General features: G+C 56.4%; 1 protein-coding gene across 10 annotated transcripts in view, besides 4 other annotated features; it reads right to left on the minus strand.

The window, feature by feature from the left end:
• The window catches only part of GLIS1 (GLIS family zinc finger 1), a 232926-nt gene that overhangs the window by 21177 nt on the left and 191202 nt on the right, over positions 1–20547 (minus strand). For all 10 annotated transcript variants that reach the window (XM_017000409.2, XM_017000411.2, NM_001390838.1 and 7 more), the window contains one exon: positions 2376–2537. In XM_017000409.2, coding sequence (XP_016855898.1) covers positions 2376–2537 — 162 coding nt within the window. The remainder of the gene's footprint in view (positions 1–2375; positions 2538–20547) is intronic.
• Positions 193–696: an enhancer, noted in NCBI's record as "H3K27ac-H3K4me1 hESC enhancer chr1:53993281-53993784 (GRCh37/hg19 assembly coordinates)". NCBI's record gives its function as "activates a minimal SCP1, AML or CMV promoter by ChIP-STARR-seq in naive H9 embryonic stem cells {active_cell/tissue: H9 hESC(naive)}" and the evidence as "EXISTENCE:reporter gene assay evidence [ECO:0000049][PMID:30033119]".
• Positions 11979–12946: an enhancer, noted in NCBI's record as "H3K4me1 hESC enhancer chr1:54005067-54006034 (GRCh37/hg19 assembly coordinates)". NCBI's record gives its function as "activates a minimal SCP1, AML or CMV promoter by ChIP-STARR-seq in naive H9 embryonic stem cells {active_cell/tissue: H9 hESC(naive)}" and the evidence as "EXISTENCE:reporter gene assay evidence [ECO:0000049][PMID:30033119]".
• Positions 12947–13914: an enhancer, noted in NCBI's record as "H3K4me1 hESC enhancer chr1:54006035-54007002 (GRCh37/hg19 assembly coordinates)". NCBI's record gives its function as "activates a minimal SCP1, AML or CMV promoter by ChIP-STARR-seq in naive H9 embryonic stem cells {active_cell/tissue: H9 hESC(naive)}" and the evidence as "EXISTENCE:reporter gene assay evidence [ECO:0000049][PMID:30033119]".
• Positions 18715–19214: an enhancer, noted in NCBI's record as "H3K4me1 hESC enhancer chr1:54011803-54012302 (GRCh37/hg19 assembly coordinates)". NCBI's record gives its function as "activates a minimal SCP1, AML or CMV promoter by ChIP-STARR-seq in naive H9 embryonic stem cells {active_cell/tissue: H9 hESC(naive)}" and the evidence as "EXISTENCE:reporter gene assay evidence [ECO:0000049][PMID:30033119]".

Raw genomic sequence — 20547 nt, forward strand, 5'->3', positions numbered from 1 at the left:
ATGTGCGGGGCCTCACACCTGCTGCCTCAGCTGACCTCCCTCGCTCTCTGAAGCAGGGGTTTTACCTCTCAGGAGGCCCAGGGAGGCCAGGGGCTTTCCTCAGACCTCCAGGACCAGGAGGCATGGCCACGGTCAGAACCCTGGCCTGGTCCTCTCCAGTCTGTTCTGAGAAACTTTCCCGCCCATGGAGAGAATCCCACATTCTCCAATGCCAGAGGTGAGCTAGGGACATGGCTGGTCCCCTCTGGAAAGCAAGGCCCTGCCCTGTGAGGGGCCTGACCCGAGGGGCCTCTGGGGGCAGGTGCTGGGACAGCAAACTAGCAACACAGAGCTGCCTGCGGTGTTTATGTGGGGAGCTGGATCCGAGTGGGGTGCTGGGCTTGGCGGCTGCACTTCCCAGGCTTCCAGGGGACCTCTTGGGGAGACGAAGGCCTGAGATAAGCCTGCAGGCTCATTCTGGGCCTGGCCTGACCTAGACCTTGGGGTTCTGTTCACACACCAAGTGGGGGCCAGAGGCCTGTTGCTTTGGGGCTGGGTCCAGGAAATGCAGTAAGGAGGGAGGGAGGAAGAAGGAGGGTCAGGGAAGGTGGCCCGAGAGGCACGGGAGGGTAGGGAGAGGGTGCAGGGAGGCCTGGCACTGTCAGCGCTGGCTTGTGGCCTCTGGGAGACATAACTGGGGGTGCTGGGGCACAGAGCGTGCCTCTCAGGACCTGGGCCAGGGTGCCACGGGCCCCTTGGGCTGAAAAGGTGACAAAGGCAGGGAGATCTGCTAGCACCCACTCCTCACTTCATGTCCGTAGCACAGCCTGTGACAATGAAGCTGAGAAGGGGAGGACTGTTGGGTTCAGGTTGGGGATGGGGCCCTTCCTTGCCACCCTCACCCCTCTGCTCTGCTGCATCCCCCAAGATGCCTGCCACATCAGCTCTTCCAGCAGAGAGCACTGGACTTGGAGTGGCCCAGCCCAGGTTTGCATCCCAGCTCTGCCACACACCTGCTGTGGACAGGGCAGATGACTCAGTCTCTTTGAGTCTCAATTTATGAAATGGGGATAATGGGCCCCATCTTGGTTGGTCACCAGGATGAAACTGGGGGCAGTGTGTGTGAGACTGTGGGGCCAGATATACAGAGTGTCCCCCCCAGGGCCTGGCCTGGCCCCAAGAACATTGCTTCCCTGCTGTTTTCTGGGCACTGAATCTTTTCTGGATCTCGGTTTTCCCGGCTCTAAGGTAAATGGCTGGCATCAGAGACCTGCAAGTGCCCTTTCAGCTCTGACCTCTGCTGTCTCATGGCCTCCAACTTACCCTGGAGGGGTCAGCTGCCCTCCTGGGCCCCTGTTTCCTCCTCATCTGTGAACTGGACGGGCTGGGGGGCAGCCACCCAAATCCCCCAGCCTCTGACCCACAGAGTTCCCCAAACACCTGCAGGAAGCATAGAGAAACCAGCCTGGGGCCCGGACATGGCTCTGCTGCAGACCCCAGTCTCCTGCAGCACATGGGGGCTGGGGTCCTCCTCAGGCACGTGCCCCTCACCCAGGGCCTAGTGTAAGGCCCTGGTCTGAGTCAGCTCTGCCACCGTCCAGCTGTGCGATGGTGAGCAGGCACTGGCCTCAGGTGTCCCACTTCCCTAATCTGTCAAATGGCTTCGTGACTGCCCCTGCCCAGAGCACAGGGTCTGTATGAGATCCTGAGGGGTGAAGTTTTAGAAAGCGCTCTATTAACGGCACATGGAGGGCTGCCTGGGCAGACATTGGAATAAAGCTGCTGTTACCTATGCCTGGTGCAAACAAGGGAAGGAAGGTGGGAAGGGAGCCAGTATCTGGAGGCCTGGGTCACCTGCAGGAGCCTGGAGTCTTAGGCACTGCCCACCTCCGCTCCTCACCTGCAGGGCTCAACGGACAAAAGACCACCCTGGAGAGCCTCTGACCTGTGTCTACGGAGGGGGCAGGAAGAGCAGGGAGCAATCTGCTCTGGCGTGGCTGACAGGTTCTGGGGAGGGGACACAGGAAGGCGAATGTGCTCTCTCCATGAGGCTGTGCACGGCTCTGGTGCCCAGGCTGGTACCCACAGGCCAAAGCATTGCTTCTTAACTGGGGCAGGTTTGCCTCCCCTCACCCCCGGGGACATTTGGCATCAGAGAGTTTTGGTTGTTGCGACTGGGAGTGGGAACATTGCCTCCTATCTAGTGGAGAGAGGCCAGGGATAACTGCTAAACATTCTAGAATGCAGAGGACACCATCCGACCCACTGCCCTGCCAAGCATCTCCTGCCCCAAACATCGGTGGGGCTACAGGGTAAGGCAGGGGCTCTGCACTGAATGAGTGGCAGGTGTGTGGCCATCCTCCACCCCGCCCTGGGCCTCTGCCTGTTGGGCCTACCGTGTCTAGGTGGGTGCGCTGGTGCTTGGCGCGGTCGCTGGAGTTGCTGAAGGCCTTCTGGCAACCCGGGTGCTGGCACAGGTACGGCTTCTCGCCCGTGTGGCTCCTCAGGTGGATCTTGAGGTTCTCCAGCCGTGAGAAGGCCTTGCTGCAGCCTTCAAACTGCAGGAGAGGCTGGTGAGGGGAACTCCCAGCCCGGTGGGCACCCCAACCCTGCATGGAAACTAACCCCCCAGGCCTGCCTGGCCCCAGCACCCCTGCCCCTCCCATCCTGCTGGAGCCTCTGAGAGCTCTGGATCAGCTCCCCATGAAGTGCTCAGGGCCCAGGCCTTATCTGGAAAGGCCTGGTGAGTCCAGAAAAATAGCACCCTGACTTAGAAATAGGGCGTGAGGGCTGGAGAAGAAAGTGGCCTTTCCAGTTCTGGACCCGAAAGGCTCCCCTCCCCAGGGCCATCTGGAAACGAGGCACTTGCCCTGACCACAGCACAGCCCCGAATCAGGGCAGGGGTGTGTCCCAGCACAGAGAGCTGAAATAGGGAAGGACCCACAGCCTGGATCTGAACTGGGCTCTGTCCCAGAGAGGCTTTGGGCAGTGCTCTTGACCCCTCTGCGCCTTGTTTCCTTGTTTTCAAGCTTGAGACTGTGTGGCCACCACTCAAGGCTGACATGAGGGCCCCAGGGGGTAGGACATTGAATGTCATGGGGTTTGTCCGTCTGGAGCACAGAGTTGATGCTAACTGCTGTCAAAACAAGAGCCACGTTTGTAAACTGAAGGGCCCTTCACAGATCCTGTGGCTCTGTGACCATATACAGCCCTCCACACCTCTCTTTAGGCCCACCCAATGCCCTAGATCAACATCAGGGGTTGGCCAGACAATTTCCAGCCTTTGTTCATTCAAGTCACTCAGCAAGGAGTGTCCCCTCTTTCACAGCCACCCACCAACCTCCCTCAGCCCTCACAGCCACCCACCAACCTCCCTCAGCCTTCAAAGTCAGCTCAAATGCTGCCTAGCGGAAGCAGCAGCCTCTCCTCCTTCAGTGTGATGAGCTGCTCCTTCCGACTTCTCCCCATCTGTCCCTGTCCCAGCCAGGCTGATGTTCTGGCCATGTGCTTGCAAGGGTGGGAGGAGGGGACCAGCGCTGACGGGCGCCTGCTACATCCAGGTGTGGTGCTGGGTGTTGGACACACAACAGCTGTGAAGTATACGGCATTAATGTCCCCATCTCAGAGATGGAGGCTCCATGTGGTCAAGTGACCTGCCCAAGGTCACAGGGCTGTGACATGGCAATGACAGGACTCAGGCCAAGTCTGATGCCAAAGGCCAGGTGGCTCTGCTATGCCTGCTGCCTTCCTAGGGCAGGTGACCCTTGAGGAGGAAGGGACCAGAGGAGGCTGGCCCCCTCTCATGAGCCATTGATTTCATCCTCCATGTCCAGGGCTGAACAGCCAACCATGAGCACCTAACCCAGATTAGGGCCCATGGGACCCTGCCCCTCTGACCCAGGGGCCAGCATGGGCTCCCAGCAGCAGGTGGCCAAGGATGAGCTGGTAGCAGCCGTGTTACCCGAGGACTGGCGCTCCCAAAGCCTGCTCTTCACATCCTTTCTCTGGGGCTCACCTGCGGGGAGTAGGGGGAGGAGCTGGTTGGGTGCCTGGAGAGGACTGTGGGCTCATTTCAGACCCTGTGATCCACCTGGCTGATTTTCATGGCCTTGGCTCAAGGCTGTTCAGCACATTGAGTAATTTCTGGTGCGAGGCTGTTCACTGGGACAGACTGGCTCCAGTCTGCGGTGAGTGCCAAGCTGCAGAGAGAACTCAGACATGGGTCCTGCCCTCTAGGTGTAGAGAGCCCATGTGGGAGATGCACACACGCACACCACCATAAAGCGACGTGGTTGAGATGTCACAGAGGGAGACACAGGGGCTGTGGCCACACAGAGGAGATGCCTGAGGCAGCCTGTGGGCCGCGAGCTGCTTCCACGGGCTTGATGACTGTAGCGAGCTTAGACAGACATGTAGCAGTGTGGAGACACAGGCAGGCAATTCCCCCAACACTGATGCATTCACCTCATTCTGTCTCTGGCCCTGCCCGAGCCCTGAACTGCAACCAACAGATCCAAAGAAGATAGTGGGGTGACGCACACTGAAGGCCAAGGAAGGGCAGGCACCAAAGCATGAAAAAGGCACAGATTCCCTGTGAAGGCCCCTGAGTGGTTGATGTGGGGTTCATTACGCTGGGGGTGGGCTGGGCTCTACTGGGCAAGGAGTCTGCAGGGAGCTCAAAGGCCAGATAGCGGGGACTCAAATGCTGGGCCAGTGAGCCTGGACTCCACCTTGGGGAAAGTGGAGACACTTCTCCTAAAGAAGGGAAAGGACAGGCTCAGATATGTGCCCTAGGAAGACCTCTCTGGCTGCTGGTGACAAGTGGGGACCGGGGGAGGAGACAGGAAGATGGCAATTGTAGCAGTTCCAGAGGAGGGTCACCAACGCCCCATCCAGGGCAGAGGTGGCAGATGGAGCACAGGCCAGGGCAGAGCTGCTCAGACAGATATGAGAGACACAAGAGACACGAGAGACAATGATGGTTCCGGGACAGCTCCCTCTGCGCCTGTCCCCTGGAAGCCCAGTCACAACTTGGGGCCGTGCTCTGCTGGGGCGGGTCCAAGGCGAGCCACCCACAGCTGGGTTTTAGAAGCTGTTCTGCTTCCTACTTCCAGATGTTGTGCCTTTTTCATGCATCCAAACCAGGAGGAAATCCTGTTTGGGCAGTAAATAGGCTGCAAGCCACCTCCCTTGCTCGCCTGCAATGGCCTTGTGCCAAGTTCACCCCAACGTGAGATGGGGGAGCCCGGGCTGGAGAGTGGGGCTTCCTCTCAGCATCCTTTGTTCCCCTCTGGCCCATGCAGGGCAGGGAGGTATCTACAGCAGAGGACAATAACTCCTCCAGGCTTCGTCATTTTCCTGACTGTGGGAGAGTGCTGGAAGGTGGACCATGATCGATACATCATCTTCTCCCCGAGGTCTGTGTATTCCTGCCTTGGCCAACCCTCTGCTCAGCACAGTTGCTCTGTCTCTATTCGGACTGTCCCCCTCCTGGGACTCCTTCCCTTCCAACTCTCTGACCATCTAATTCATACGTTTTTCAAACACAGGATCTGCAGCTTGGTGTTCATGGTCTTCCAACATGGACCCAACTGCCTCTCCCATGCAGACGCTCCACGCGTGATCTGCAGGAGTGAGACTGTGTCTGAACAGTCCTGAATTCTGTTAGGAATTTCCATGCCCTCAGGCCTTTACTTCAGTTGTTCCCTAGGCCTGGAATGCCTTTCCTTTATTTGCTCTTTTAGCAAACATCTACTCCTGTTGCTTAAGCACTCTCTCTCAGAAGCCTGCCTCAAACTTCCCCACCCCATCCTCTGTGACACCCATGAGCTTGTGGGGTAGGTTTTCCCTGCACAGCCATGGCCTTCTCCCCATGCCTCCAGGCTGAGAGTTTGAGAGTTCCTTGAGAGCAGGGCTGGCATCTCAATCATGGGGCAAAGGGTGGGACAGAAGCATGATATGGGGGTTGCTGGGCATGCAGTCCACGCACCCCTGTGAGTACACCCCCTTACCCCAGTGTGCAGAAAGGTACCCCGATAAGTGCGTGTGCCCTGATGCCTGTGCTGTGCCCATGTATGTTGGCCCAGCCTTGTTCTGCTCCCCGCCCCCTGGAACTTTCCAGAGCTGAGCCACAGGCTGGGGTATAATGAGCAGCTGGCTGGGATGCCCTGATGAGAGTGGCCCGTCCCTCCAGGTGGAAACAGAGGTACCAGCAGACGAAGGGGCACTGCCCCATCAGGACTGGTCTGGGATGAGGATGCTGCAGGCACCCCTGGCAGAGCCAGAGTCATGCCCCATCAGGACCAGCATCCCAGACACGCCAGGGGCCTTGAGGGCCTATGGGATCTGCCTGCAGCTGGCTGCCAAGGTCCCTGTGGTCCTTCCTAGTCAACAACTGCACAGATGGGGACAACAGAGGCACAGAAAGAGGGATGAGAGCGACCATCAGTTCAGCACCTATTGTGTGCTTGGTTCTGCTGGGCCTGGTGCTGTCACAAATGTGGCACCTTATCTTCTTCACTGCCCAGTAGGCAAGTATTACTGTCTCCACTGACAGATGGGGAGCTGATGCTCAGGGTGCAGCCAGCACAGGGGTTACACACACGGACCCTGGTGTAGACCCAGCCCAGGGGGAGCTCTCTGGGTCCCGGGAGCAGCCTCCAATGAGTGCGAGGTAGCCTTTGGGGTGGGTGTGGCTTGAAGGGCCCCCATCCATAGGCTGTGTAGGGCTGGGAGGGCTGCAGGGAGGGAACCCCCACCATTGGGTTGTGGGGGCACAGATGCTGCAGAATGGATGCATGGGGCTTGTGAGACCAGAAATGCAGCCATCTAGCACGTCCCTGGCTTCGACCTTGGTTTCTCAGGTGGAGGGAGGACTTACCTTCAGGTAATGGCACCACGACCCGAGGGCATCGTAATGATTCCATGGGGCCTGCACCACAGGGAGTGCCACTGGGGCGGGGCCTTCCTGACATCCCGGTCGCCTCAGGCTCTATGGTACATTTGTCCTGGACAGACACCTGCTTCCTGCTGCCAGTGTCCAAGGGTACAGGCTGGCAGAGCAGACCCTGGACCCCCACTGCAAGGGCTGAGTGCCTCTATGTGGGGGGTTCAGAGAGGGAGATTGTTCCCCCTGTGCCAGGGGCACTGAGCCTGAGCTATGCCATAGGCAGAACTGCCATCTCTCCTGAGAAAGAAGTGCCTGCAACACAAGGTAAGCCCTGTGGCCTGAAAGCCAGCTGTGCACCCCATCCCTCCACCCCCACCTGACCACCCACCCCATCCCTGCTACTGTGCACCCCCCATCCTTCCACTCACGCACTTCTGCGAGTCACTCACTCATCCTCTCCTCTTTGAGCACACAGGTTCTTATCCTCCTGCCTCACTCAGCTGCCCCTCTGTGTGCCTGGCAGTGTGCTCTGAGCTGAGACCCAAGGGCGTCAAAGACCCATAGCTCCAAACACACTGGAACTTGTTCAGAGCCCTAGGAAGGGGCTGACCCGGGGGCTTCTGGCTGGCAGAGGCTGGGGAGCTACAAAAGCCTTCACAGAGGAGCTCAGCCCTGACACCCAGGCAGGGGCTAGAAACACAGAGCCAGGAAAAGCATTCCAGGGAGAGGGCAAAGCATGAACAAAAGCAGGGAGGCTGGAAGAGGTGGGATATGTTCTGGAAACAGCTAAGGATCTATTGAGCAGAGAAGGAAGGGAAGCAGGGAGAGGAGAGGTGAAAGTAGAAATGGGAGTTTTGGGGGCTCCCTTCATTCAAACACATGGGGTAGTGGTTCCTTCTGCAGCAGGCAAATTTGGGGATTTTTGATTCTAAAGACTTCACAGAAGCCACTCCATGCAAGGACTGATGTGGCACAGGCTCTTCACTTGAGGGACTCTGGTGCGACTTCTGCTGGCTGGACCACCCCAGGTCACGCAGGGCTGATGCCCTGGGTCTGAGCTGTCACTGTTTCTTCCATCTACCTTTACTAAGCACCTACCGTGAGTCCAGGCACTGGGCTGGACCGGTGCAGGAGGGTGCGACATGGGCCCCTAAGCCTCAAGCACATATGGCCCTGAGTTGCTGGCACATGGCCAGCCCACCTTGGGGCCTCTCAGTCCCTCATGGTGGATGGCTGGGTGGGTATGGGGCCCCTGACCTCCCACCTTCTACCTGGATGCTTGAGCCAGGAACATGTTCCCTCCTCTCTGGGCCCTGCATCCAACTAGTCACCAGCCCAGGAAATGCCACCTTGTAATCACCTTCCAGGTCTGCCCCCTTCTCTTCTTATCCACCCACTGCCCTAATCCACACCCCAGCATCACTTACCTGGGTGACTGCACAGGTGCCATCCTGCCTCCCTCCTGCCTTTCCCAACCCATTTCCACGAGCTATCTGAAAAGAAGACTTAAGCCCATAGCTCTGTGTCCCTCCCTGCTCAAACCCTGCATGGTTCCCCAGTGCCTCAACATGTACAGATCCTCACCCTGGCATTCTGGCCAGCATGATCTGGTCCCTTGGTGCTGGCTTGGTGGCATCTGTACCCTCCAACCCCCGTACCCACACCAATGCATTCCAGCTTCAGATCAGCCTGGGTGCAAAGCTGGCCTCCACGCTTCCCGACCCGATGAATCAGGGTGAGCTCATTTCACTTGTCAGAGACCAGATACCTCAGATGTAAGAAGGGGCACACTGTGGGGGCTCTGTGAACCACTGTGTGCAGAGGCATCAGCGCTCTGACGCCATCTGTCCATGCAGAGAATGATACAGGCACCTTCTGTCGAGGGTGGATTTGAGACACACTGGCTCAAATAACCAAAAACACAACAGACTGATCTGGCTAGAAGGAAGGGCTCCCACACCATGGGAACAGAGAAGGTGATACTGAGGGCAGGGGGTACCCAGGATGGGGAGAAGGAAAAGCAGGCATGTATAACAATCTTGAAAAATGTAAGAATAGGTGGTTAGGTTTTTCTTATTTACCCCAAAATACACAAACAGTAAAACATATTTGAAGATGAAGTTGGGGTGAATTCAGAATGACAGTAGTGACTGGGTGACACTTTCTCTGACACCTACCGTAGGCCAAGTGCTGTGTGTGTTTCATTTAATTCAGACAACGTTCCCCGCTGAGGAAGCTACTTCCCAGCCCACTCTGCAGAATAAGAAACTGAGGCTCAGAAGGGTGATGTCACTGGCTCCAGGTCACACAGCCAGTCAGTGACGGAGCAGGAATCTGACCTTGGGTCTGGCTGATGAGTCTATATGTGTCCCTAACCACTCTGGCCACTGCCTCAGGGACTCCTACCTAAAGCACCAAAAGACAAGTTCTCTCTCAGGAGCTAGTACTGTCATTTCAAACCAGGCGTCACAGGTTCCATTCCTGGGGCAAGGCCAGGCCTGGGCCCAGCCCCAGAGCTGACGCTGGGAAGGGAGGATGCCCACAGTGGATGCCTCCATGCAGAAAGGAAAACCAGGTGGCACAGTGGAGAAGAAAGTACCAGCTGATCCACAGAACAGCCTTGAAAGGCCCAATTCCCACATGTGGGGTGTGTTACAGCAGAAGATTAAAAAAACGGGGAAAATACCCCGGGAACCGTGAAGCCCCAGACCATCTGGAGTTTTATAGTGACAGGCAGGGGAAAATCAGAACCTAATTGAAAAATGTCCACTGCAATCCATTACTGCTGCGTGCCGCTCACAGAGCAGAGGGCAGGAGATGAAAGACAGAGGGGAGCCATCCCAGGAGCCAGGCAGGGGGTGGCATCCTCGCCTCTGGGCCAAGCCCAGGGACCCCTCAAGCTCTGGCTTGGGGAGGGGGAGGGCTGAAGCCCAAGATCCGCTGGGGGCTGGCTCAGACGTTCAAGTTGCAGGGTGGGTCCACCTTCCTCAGCAAGCCACACTCAGAGCCTTTTATGCATCTGTGGACGGGCTAAGAGCATGCAGGGGAGCCCCAGCACAGTGCCTGGCGTGCCGCTGGCACTAGGTGATGGCTCTTCTCTCCCTCTGGCTCCTGGGGAAGAACCAAGGGCCCTGTTTCACATGTGAGTTGGTGACACCATGCCGCAAACCAAAGTGCTGCAAATCAAGTCACGCAAACAGAGGTTTGTGCTGGGGATCCACCACCGGGAGCCTGAACCTGGGCTAGTCACGCCTCATTTCTGTCCTCGTTTTTCTCTTCTCTAAAATGGGGCCACCACAAACGGCTGGTAGAAGTAAATAAAAGAATATGCCCAGTGTAGGAACTGGCACATAGCTGGTGCCTAATGAATGTCAAGTTTCCTGCCTGCGGCTGGCATGGCCCAAAAAGGAGGCAGGGTTCAGTTTCTCATGCTCTAACTAAGAATCTGGACACAGAGTGAAGAGGAGGTTTGGGGGAACAGGGCATGGCACGGGGGCAGGGGAGGAAATGCCTTCAGTTTTAGCATTTGCCAGTGACTTGCTTCTAAATAAACACATTTCTGGTTTAAGGGTAAAATATATTGGGTTACAAAAGTCTGGCAGGCCATTCAGGGATCAACTTCTCATTTTTGTACGAACTTTTAAGTTACTTTACAACAATGATGTGGATGGGAGAAATGCAATGCCAGCTCCTTCTCCAACATGTCAAATAATCCTGCGTTTGGCCAGCTTTAAAGGCCAGCAAGCTGGGCACTGAGGGCCGCTCCTCGCTCCTGCACTCTGGGAGGGGCCGCTGGCTGGCCTGAGGTTACTGTCCTGTGCTCCCCCGTGGGGCTCCTTGAGGGTCTCCTCAGAGTTTGGGGCTTCGCCAGTCCTCTGTGGGGAGGTTGAGGCAAGAATGGAACGGACAGACGGGAGGAGGGTCCTGGGGGTGAGGCTGGAGGGCACTGACCCGGGCTCTTTGATTTGGACCGTGAGGCTCTCGAGGGTCTGGTGTTTGGGGATGCAGTGCCACCTGCATACATGAATGGAAAGTGGGGCATGTGCGGGGACTGAGCAGAACAGCAGCTATCACATTGACCATGTGCCTAGGACTGGGCCAAGCTCTCCCTAAACACCATCTCACTAATCCTGCAACCCCTATTGTTACAGAGGTGGAAACTGAGTTTAGGTGAAGTGCCAGAGTCCCAGCGCTCACTCATGGGATGGAGCCTGGGTTCACCTCCAGTGCCGAGGTCTGTGCCCTGGGCACACTCTGGTCCCAGGTAGCCATGATCGAGCACTGCCATGAGAGGCAAGACCATCTGCTCACTGGGCCTTCATAAGCAGCTGGCAGGCCAGGGAGGGCTGGGGGCACACAGTGAGGCAAGGGAGAACAGGACAGAGGGACCATACACCTCCTCTGGGAGCCCATGCGGGTGGGCCTGTCCTTGGGAGGAGGATCTCAAGGCTGAGGGGGTGGGGGCTGCAGACACCCTGACCCTTCCTCACCAGGAACACACTGACAGCTCTGGGCTGGGCTCTTCTCTGGCAAAAGTTCCTGTCTGGGCAAGAAATGGGTTCCTGTCCCCAGCAGTGCAGTTGAGGCATCTCCTGGAAAGGTGGCCGGCCAGCAAGGATCAAGAGAGTCACCCTTCCAGGGCATGTGGAACCCCCGAAAGTAGGAGGTGCAGGAGGGGCTGAGTCAGCTTCTCTTGGGCCCAAGTGGACAGGTGGGATCCAGGGGCTCTCCCAGTGCAGAGCTGTGGCTAGACATCGTCTGGAATGAGGAAAGAGGCTCTGCCAGGGGCCAGGGCTCCGCAGAGAGCACACAGCATAGAATGGCTGACACATGTACACCAAGCCACCAGCCACAGGCCCAGAAACGTGGACACTCACACACTCTGATGTGAACACCTCTCCCTCCAACCAAGCCACACGTCGGAGACAGCCCCAACACACACCAACACACACACATGGATTCACACACACACACACACCAAGACCCAGAAACTCCCTCACACACACACACACACACTACACCTAAACACACACACCCCAATTCACCCACACATACCATATCCCCACATATATACCACATAACACACCCACACATATCATACCACACACACACTCCACAGCACATGAATGCACACCCCACACACACACCATACCACACATCACAGCACACCCCCAATACATACACATCATACCTCCCACACACACGTACCACACCCCCAACATACACACACCACACCACACACACACATACCACACGGTATACACCCCCCCACACACACTACACATCATACACATAAACTGTGTTTACACCCCATGACTCATATCACAAAAACACACAGGCCAGGACACACATGTTCACACATATACCCAAAGACGTCCAAGCCCCAGACCTGCCACATTCACAAACACACTAACCCCCACCCACCAGCCACACCGACACACTGCCCCACGCATAGCACAGCACACGTGGAAACTGGCCACCTGGAACATGGATGTGCGTGTGGGGTTCACTGAGGGGCTGGGTCCACTGCGCCTCCTGACCTCTGAGTGGTGGCTGGCCTGGCCTGGCCTTGGGGACAGCATGCATAGCCTGAGAGATCTCCACTGACCTCTCTAGCCCAATGTCTACTTCCCTCCCCACGCTGCAGCCACAGGCCACACATTGCCGCCTCCACGCCTTTGCCCATGCGGTGTCCTCTGCTCAAGGTGCCCCTGTTCACTGGCCAGTCCTCCTTGTCACTCTAGGCTTGGCTCAAGCCTGAGGCCTTCCCAGTTCTCTCACTGTCATCCCGATGCTGCGGCCAGGACTGCCGGTCCCTTACCACTCTCCTACCATTCAAGCATCACACACTCCTCTCAGAGCTCGGCCCTGGGAGGGAGAGAGGCAGACATAAGACCCCAGCGGTGAGCCTCGCACAGCCTGCCCCGCCCACACAGCCAAGCGGAGAGGAGCATGTTCCCATTTGCTGGGGGATTCTTTTTAGGTGGTGCAGTGCCTCACCATAAGCCCTGGGGGTGAGGCTGTGAGCGCTGCTTCAGGAGGAAGAAGAGGGCCACAGTGAATAAAACGGTCTCTCCAGGCCTCCAGCCTCAACCCTCTCTGCAAACAAACTCGCCCCACGGCCTCAGCAGGGGTCTCCCTCCCCCAGGGATGGCCTGGGGCTCAGGTGCTTCCTCCTCTTCCTGTGAGCCTCAGTGTTCTACTTGCAAATGGGGTGTCCTCCTGCGGTGGACATCAGGGTGTGGCCTTGGTACTGGGCACAGGACAGGTGCTCAGTAACATTAGTCCCCTTTTGGGATCCTCTCCCAAGTTCCAAGAAGAAATAGCAGGAGAGGGGTGGTGAGCAACACCTGGGTCTGAGATCCAAGTCCAGCCCTGGCTCTGCGTGACCCCGGCCCAGCCACCTCCCTTTCCTGAGCTTCACCCCGAGCTGCCTGCCCACCAGGGACCGCCTGCCCAGGATGGGGCAGTGGGGCGATGGTACAGGTGACAGACGCATCCATGCCCAGCACTGTACAACATACATCTGGGGCTGCCTGGGGAGGGCGGAGGCCAGAGATTCTCCACCCACTGCCTGAAAGAAAACCCAGTGTCAGGTCACCAGAATTATCACACACGTACCACAGGCAAAGCTCCCTGTCTTGAGTGGGTGGAAAGAACCTGCCAGTGTGCACCTGAGGCTCAGATCCCACCAGAAATGTCCCGTGAGGCCTGAGACCTCCATCTTGCGAGGGGGCAGTGTTCAGCACCAGGCCAGTGAAGAGTGTGGGGGTGGGAGCTGGGCTGGGAAGATCCACTGGTGTGTAGCTCCTGGAGCCACAGTGACCTGAGAGAGTTGGGGGTGGGAGGCCACCAAGAGGACTCTGCTTAGTAGCAGGATAAGCTCTACCGGGAGAAATGGTGAGCCTCCCGTCCCAGACGCTCAGGGACAGAGCCGGATGATGTGTACTCATCAGGGCTGCTCAGAGGGTGCAAATAGTTCCTAAGGTTACCTTCAGGAGATCTCCTTTAGGGGACAGCCCACAGTTTTAAATTGGTCTGGCCTGCCACCTGGGGCCAGTGGTATCAATAGGCCAGGCTAACCTGCCTTGGTCCTCCCCACACCCACCCAGCCACCCACATGATTGACCAAGAGGCCCCAAGGTGGGCTGGCCCTGTGCTGGCATCTCACGGCCATATGTGCATGAGGCCTAGTGGCCCACATCACACCCTCCTGCACTGATCCAGCCCAGTGCCTGGACTCACAGTGGGCACTTAGTAAAGGTAGATGGATAAAAACAGTGATGGCCTAGACCCAGGACATCAGCCCTGCACACGCACTCAAGTTAGGGAAGGGAGGTGAATTGCAGTGGGAAACCAGTCACACACACACAAACCAAAGGAAACCAACCAGGGAGGGAAGGAGAAGCTGGGAACAGACAGAGGCAAACCCATCCGGTGGCCAAGTGCCTCCATCTGCAAAGCCCTTCTCTTCCCTGGCATCACAGCAGCCCTGTGAGAGGCAGGACGGAGTTGCTGCTTTTGAGATGGGTAAACTGAGGCACCAGGTGGTGAAGGAAACTGTCTGGGGGTCTGAGGCTCGGTCCGTTCATCCTGCAGCTGGGGGAGTTTGGTGAGGAAGGTGCCTGGTGCACAGGTCTGTAATCCACAGCTCCTCCTGTGGCCAGTGATGATGGCACCTGGGTGATCACTCACCAAAGCTAAGGAAGGGGGAGGGCCACAGCCTTGGCTCAGAGGCCTCTGTTCAAGGGCTCACTCAGCTTCTCAGCAGTTGGGAGCCACTGCCTCCTCCCCAAATGCCCCACTGTCCACAGTGACATCTGGTTATAAGCAGGTGCCCAGCAGACTCAGCCAGAGGAGCCCCCTGGGCCAGGAACCCTGAGGATATCCCCTTCCCTGATGGGCCTCGGTTTTCATCTGTCAAAGGGGTCCGTGTGGAATAGCACTGCACCTCCACTCAAGCGCCGGGGGGAAGGAGATGACTTAGCAGAAAGCAGAGCAGACAGGAGCAAATTCCTGGCTTTTGGGTTTCAAAATCCCAGGCCGCAGGGCCGAATGGAAAGAACTCTGGACACGGATGAGTCACAGGCAGTTAATATTTCAAATGATGTTTCCGCCATAAACCCATCGGAGAGTGCCCAGCACAGGGGCTGGCACAGAGCGGGTGTTCGTGAACATCTGTTAATGAATGAAAGAACCAAGCAACAAACAAATGAGCCTTGAGGGAAGTGTGGGGCGGGTGGGGAGATGGCTGGCTGCTCAGCAGTCACCTCCCAAATTAGTTGGGGGCTGGGAGAGACCTTGTGATGAGGAAAGAGCAAAGCTTCCTGTACTTCCACCCTCAAACGATGCTCCAGCTGGGACAGGGACATTGGAGGGAAGCCAGACGCATGTACATGGCATGGGTCCCTAAAAGCTGCGAGGTCCTGAGCTCTGCCCCTTCACCCCTGGGGCTACGCCCTGGGGGTGCTGACAGCACCACTAGATAGGTCTGTGGGACCTGAAGCAGGGCTGCTCCCAGCAAGGCCCAGGCTACCTGGGGCATCCAGGCAGGACTCTGGCTGTCTCAGGGAGGTCCCCTCCCCGCACTATGGAGAAGACACTGAGTCTGGGCTGGCCCTGAGGCAGCCTTTAGATGGACAGGGACAAGTAGATTCTGGCCAAAGATGGGGCAGGATGGTTCAGCAGGTGTCAATGTGATAAATGACTCTACGGGCCCCTTGGTTCAGTGTAAGCCCCCCAAAACCCAGAATTTGCATGCAACTATGAGAGAAGATGGGCAGTGATCTGTGAACTGCCAGAGATTTGCTACCCAGCATGTGGGGGCTCAGGATAGGAAGGGAGTGAAAGGAACATTTAAAGTTACATTTTTTTTCTCTTTCTCACTCCAGTTTGTGGACTTCAGGTTTGGACCTGACATAAGTGAAACAGAGAGCACTAGCAGTCCTCCCTCACGGGGAAGTGGTCCTCCCTCATGGGGACGTGGACACGGGAAAAGCGAGGAAAACTGCCGCTGATGGGCGCCCTCAAGTCAGGCCATGCTACTCTTTCGGCGGACTGCCTTGTTTAACCTCCGGAGTGCTCTAGACAGAAGGTGCCACCGTAATCGCCTTTCCTAGATGAGGAGACAGAGGCTCCCAGAGGGCCTGAGCCCAGGGCCCCTGAGGAGTGAGAGCAGCAGTGGGAATGGAGCCAGGGTTGAGGAATGAGCCCAGGGCTGTCTGATAGCAAACCCCTGGCCCCTGTGCTTATGTTGCATTAAGTCAAAAGCAGAGTGGTCTATTGATTTAGGAAACACTAGCCCAAGGGGAAGAAATGACTACAAACAAAGGACTAAATGTTTCCATGTCAACAGAAAATAATGCTAGCAACAACAGCCACTGCAGTAAGCGCACTGGTCTCTCTTAAAACCCCAAATCGCCAGCTGTTCGGCTCAGAACAGGTTGGAAAGTTCTGGAAGGGTGTGGGGGAGGTGACCCACCCCTCACCTGCATCTCGGATGTCCCAGGGGTCTGAGAGGGAAGTGGTCATCTGCCGGCCAGGCAGGCCATCCGGCTCTCACATGAGCCTTCCCTCTTATTGGGCAAGGGAGAAACACCCCGTGGCCACCACTTGCAAGAGAGGACCGTGTCACTGAGAAAAGTTACATCCACACGGGAGAGCAGGAAGGGGCCCCTGAGGAGAAGCACGCTGTGAGGAGCTCCATGGAGAACCAAGGGGTGGCGGGAGGAGCCGTTCTGGGGCGCGCAGCCCAGCCCAGATGCCTGGCTCAGCAGAGCTGCGCCACCCGACTCAGAGGGACGCCTGGAACTCATTAGCATTATGTCAGGAATAATATAAAATTAAAACATTTAGCTTTGGCTTCTAAAATTAAGGAGGACAAAAAGAAAAGGATGCCATTGTGCTGAACCGCTCGGCTATGACCTGGGCACCAATAATTTACAGAAAATAGATCACTGCATTGCACTTGGGCCCAGTCAGGAGCCCGGGGTTGCCAATAGGGCTGAGGACTAAGAGAGGAGCCCGCAACTCTGCTGGAGATGGGAGAAGGGGAAGGTTGGGAGCCAGGGTGCAGTCCGGCCCCCGGGGCACAGTGAGGCCTTCGGGCAGCTCACTTGCCAGGGCAGCACCAGGTACATGTGCATCCTGCCACTCTCTTCCCTGGCCCCCCACCTCTAGGCTGGCCGTTGCTCCCAGATCCATCATCTCTCCTGCAGCAGGGAGACCCCTAAATTGCAAGCCTCTCCTTGCCACTCCCAAACCCTATGGGTGGCTCCACTGCCTTCAGGATACCACCCTCAGCCCAGCACTTCCAGCATCTCGCCGACTGACCTCTGGGGACCCTCCAGCTGTAGCTGGCTCCCCAAGCTCCCTGGTCCCTCTCCAGGTTCCTGTTACACTGACCACTTGGGCCATCAGAACTTCATATCTATGTGTTTTTATATATGCTGTTCCCTCAGCCTGGAATTCCCTCAAGTCAGGCTCAGCTCCAACACTGGTTTCTTTGTGAGGTTCTGGGCTTTGGGGCAGGTCCTGGGCCCAAAGCCTCTCTGGGTTCACCCTAGCCCAGGGGTAAATGCAAATGGCTGGGCTGGGCTGCGTGGGAACCCAAGCCTCACACAATGTCAGTACTGGCCAAACCTCCAAGGACCTCATGTTGTGGGTGGGGACACCAAGGCAGCCCAGAGAGGGCAAGGCTCCCCAAGGCTTCCCCTGCCACCAGCTTTTTGCAGGCCCCTGGATCCTTAGGGCAGGCTCTTCCTGCTCCTGTGTGCTCATTGTGGGAAACAGAGTGCTCAAGAGTCATCCAGACCTGGATTCAAATCCTGATTCCCCTCCAATTCTGTGAAAACCACCTAATACCCTAATTTGTCTGCATTGCCAGGGAGGTAATGACAGTAGAGTATCACCCCTCCCAGGGCTGTGGAGAGTCAGCATCAACACGGCAGTAACACAGTCTACACTACCTGCAACCCCATGCAGAGACACTGTGGTCCATGGACCCCAAGGACAGGGGGCCTGATGGGGTAGACACAGGCTCCTGGCTCCTCAGGAAGGCAGTCTGGGCAGAGTCCCCAAAGCCTGACCTGTCCGGCGGCATCATGGGGCAGACTGTCATGCTTTTATTCAGTCATTCATCAGCCATTCATTCATTTCCTCACTCGCTTATTCACTCAGCTAACTGTTCATAGCCAGACACCCAAAATACGCTGTTAGTGAAAAAATCAAGTACCTAAACAGTAAGTATAGTATGATTCCATTTTAGTAAAGAGTGTAATTATACACACAGAGAGCAGCCTGGAAAAATACTCCAAAATATTAAACAATGGTTATTTCTGAGTGGTGTAGTTAGGGATAACTTTTCCTTTTTTCCTTACATTTCACTCTCTACTTTCTACTTCTTTACATATTATACTTATTGCTTTATATTTTACACTATGTTGTTTTGCTAAAGTTTAAAAAAATTTACAGTGGGCAGCGTCATACTTTCATGGACAGATTTAGTCACAATTCTAGACTTCTTGCCTAGTGCTACGTGTGCCCTTGCGTGAGTCGCTGCAGAGGGCGGGACCCTGGATGCCCCCTGCTGCATCTGGAGCCAGATCCGGTCCATGCGCTGGCTCCTGTCCTACGTGACATGAGCAAAGGGCTTTCCTCTGGACTCATTTTCCACATAAGAATACAGGGACAACACGATGGCTTCCAGAGGGGATCTGAGGATTAAGGAAGACATGGATGGGGACCAACTTGCCGAAGGGCAGGGGATACAGCTCATGGTGACAGTGGTGTGCCTGCATCAGGGAAGTGAGACCCACCCACCGATGCACTGAAGGATGTGGGTGCCTCCTCGCAGGGTGACGCCACCAAGCTCCTGTTTCACACATGATGGCCAGGGACGCCTGAGGAGGCAGGGGGCTGGTGTAATTAGATACTGGTGACAGGCAGACTCACTCCTAAGAGCAGAGGAGCCAGAGGCAAGCCCACGCCACAAACCTTGGCAGGGAGGGCGAGGATGACATTTCACTCTGCAGCAGCAGCCAAGAGTCATGGGGCACTGGGGAGGAGCGAGTGCTCCCTCAACACCATCTCTGCAGCCTCAGCCAAATGTCTGGGGACACATCCCTGAGCCATCTGGATGGGGTGCAGCTTCGGATCAGGAAGACCAGGTTCAAGTCCCAGCCCTGCTGCTTACTCGCCTGTGTCCTCAGGCACGTTACTCAGCCTCTCTGGTCCTGGAGGTGTCTTCTGGAAAACGGGGTTAACACTCCCTGTTTGCAGGTTTATTGCAACGACTACATGAGATGAGAGATGGCAGGGCTCGTCAATCTGGCCTTGGGACAGGGTCCATCCAGCAGTGCCAATACACCAGCAACAGGTGGCACACTCCATGCAACCGACACCAAGGTGCCTCTGCTGCTATCATTCTCTTCTGCGGCCATCATTCTCTTTCCAGAATGTTCTTCTCCTGCCACTTCATCTGGCTGAGTCCTGCTCATCCTCCAAGCTTCAGCTCATAAGCCACCTCTTCCAGGGAGCCTTCCTAGATTTCCCTGTTGTTAAGACTAGGCTGCCCTGGGGTCCCCCACCATGCCCTTCCTTCCATCACAGCCCCTGGACTCAAGCATTGTAACTGCCGGGCTCTGCGCCTCTTTCTTCCCCTGACTGGGTATGGAAGGCTGACACAGAATGGACCTGGTCCTGACTGGCCTCTTATTCCAGGGCCCAACAAGGGACTGGACATACAGCAGGTGCTCAGGGCATGCTTGCTGACTGCAACGCTGTGCTCGATCAGGGTTAGCCACCCTTGTTTCACCTCACCGCTGGGGAAGGAGAAAGGCTCTTTTCTTTTAAAATCCCAGAAGGTCTGAGTTGAAAGGGATGTTAGAGGACGTCTACCCATTTTGCAGATGGGAAGACTGGGGCTGGGTAAGGCGAAAAGACCTGCTCAAGGCTGCCCAGTACATGTCAGTGGTGACACAGAGACAGAGAGCCAGGGCTCCAGACTCCCAGCCCAGTGCCCTCTGATCCTTGGCCTCGGGGCTGTCTTTTCACAGCCAGAGAGAGGGCAATAGCCAAGAGCTGCATGCTCAATGGGGCTGAAGGTGGCAAGACCAACAATGCACCCTGGTCTGGCCACCTCCATCTCCCCTCGTCAGCACGGAACCTGCCTGAGCTCTACTGTACTTCTCACTGCTGGCTCCTGCCTTTGATGGATGGAAGGTGTCACTTACCTCCGCCAGGCTCCACTTCCCAGGCCCTGACCCAGGCAGGGCTCCCCCAGCACACCTACCCCTCCAGAACGTCACCAATGGCCAAAGCCCTCTGATGGCCCCCACAGGCCTACTCAAGCCTGGGAACATATTTGCGAAGGCCAACGCAGTGGGTTTTCATCATTTTTGGTATGGCCGTACATTCTGGAATACAAACTTGGTGAATCAGGCTCAGACTGGGTTTAACGAATTCTATTTCCCTGCCCCTCTGCTGAGCCAAGCCTGGCTGTCAGCGATCACCAGGACAGAATGGCAGTGATTTCTCATTAGAAATATGGTTCATAAAGTCGATTTCCATTTTATTGGAGCAGCCAGGAGCAGCCAAACACGGCCCAGTGGTGGCTGTCTCTGTGAGGGGGCAGCAGGGAGGACTTGGTTTTTTCATCTGTGCTTTATTGTGTTTTACAT

Source organism: Homo sapiens, chromosome 1 (assembly GCF_000001405.40).
Source record: "Homo sapiens chromosome 1, GRCh38.p14 Primary Assembly".
In the NCBI taxonomy this organism is placed as follows: Eukaryota; Metazoa; Chordata; class Mammalia; order Primates; family Hominidae; genus Homo; species Homo sapiens.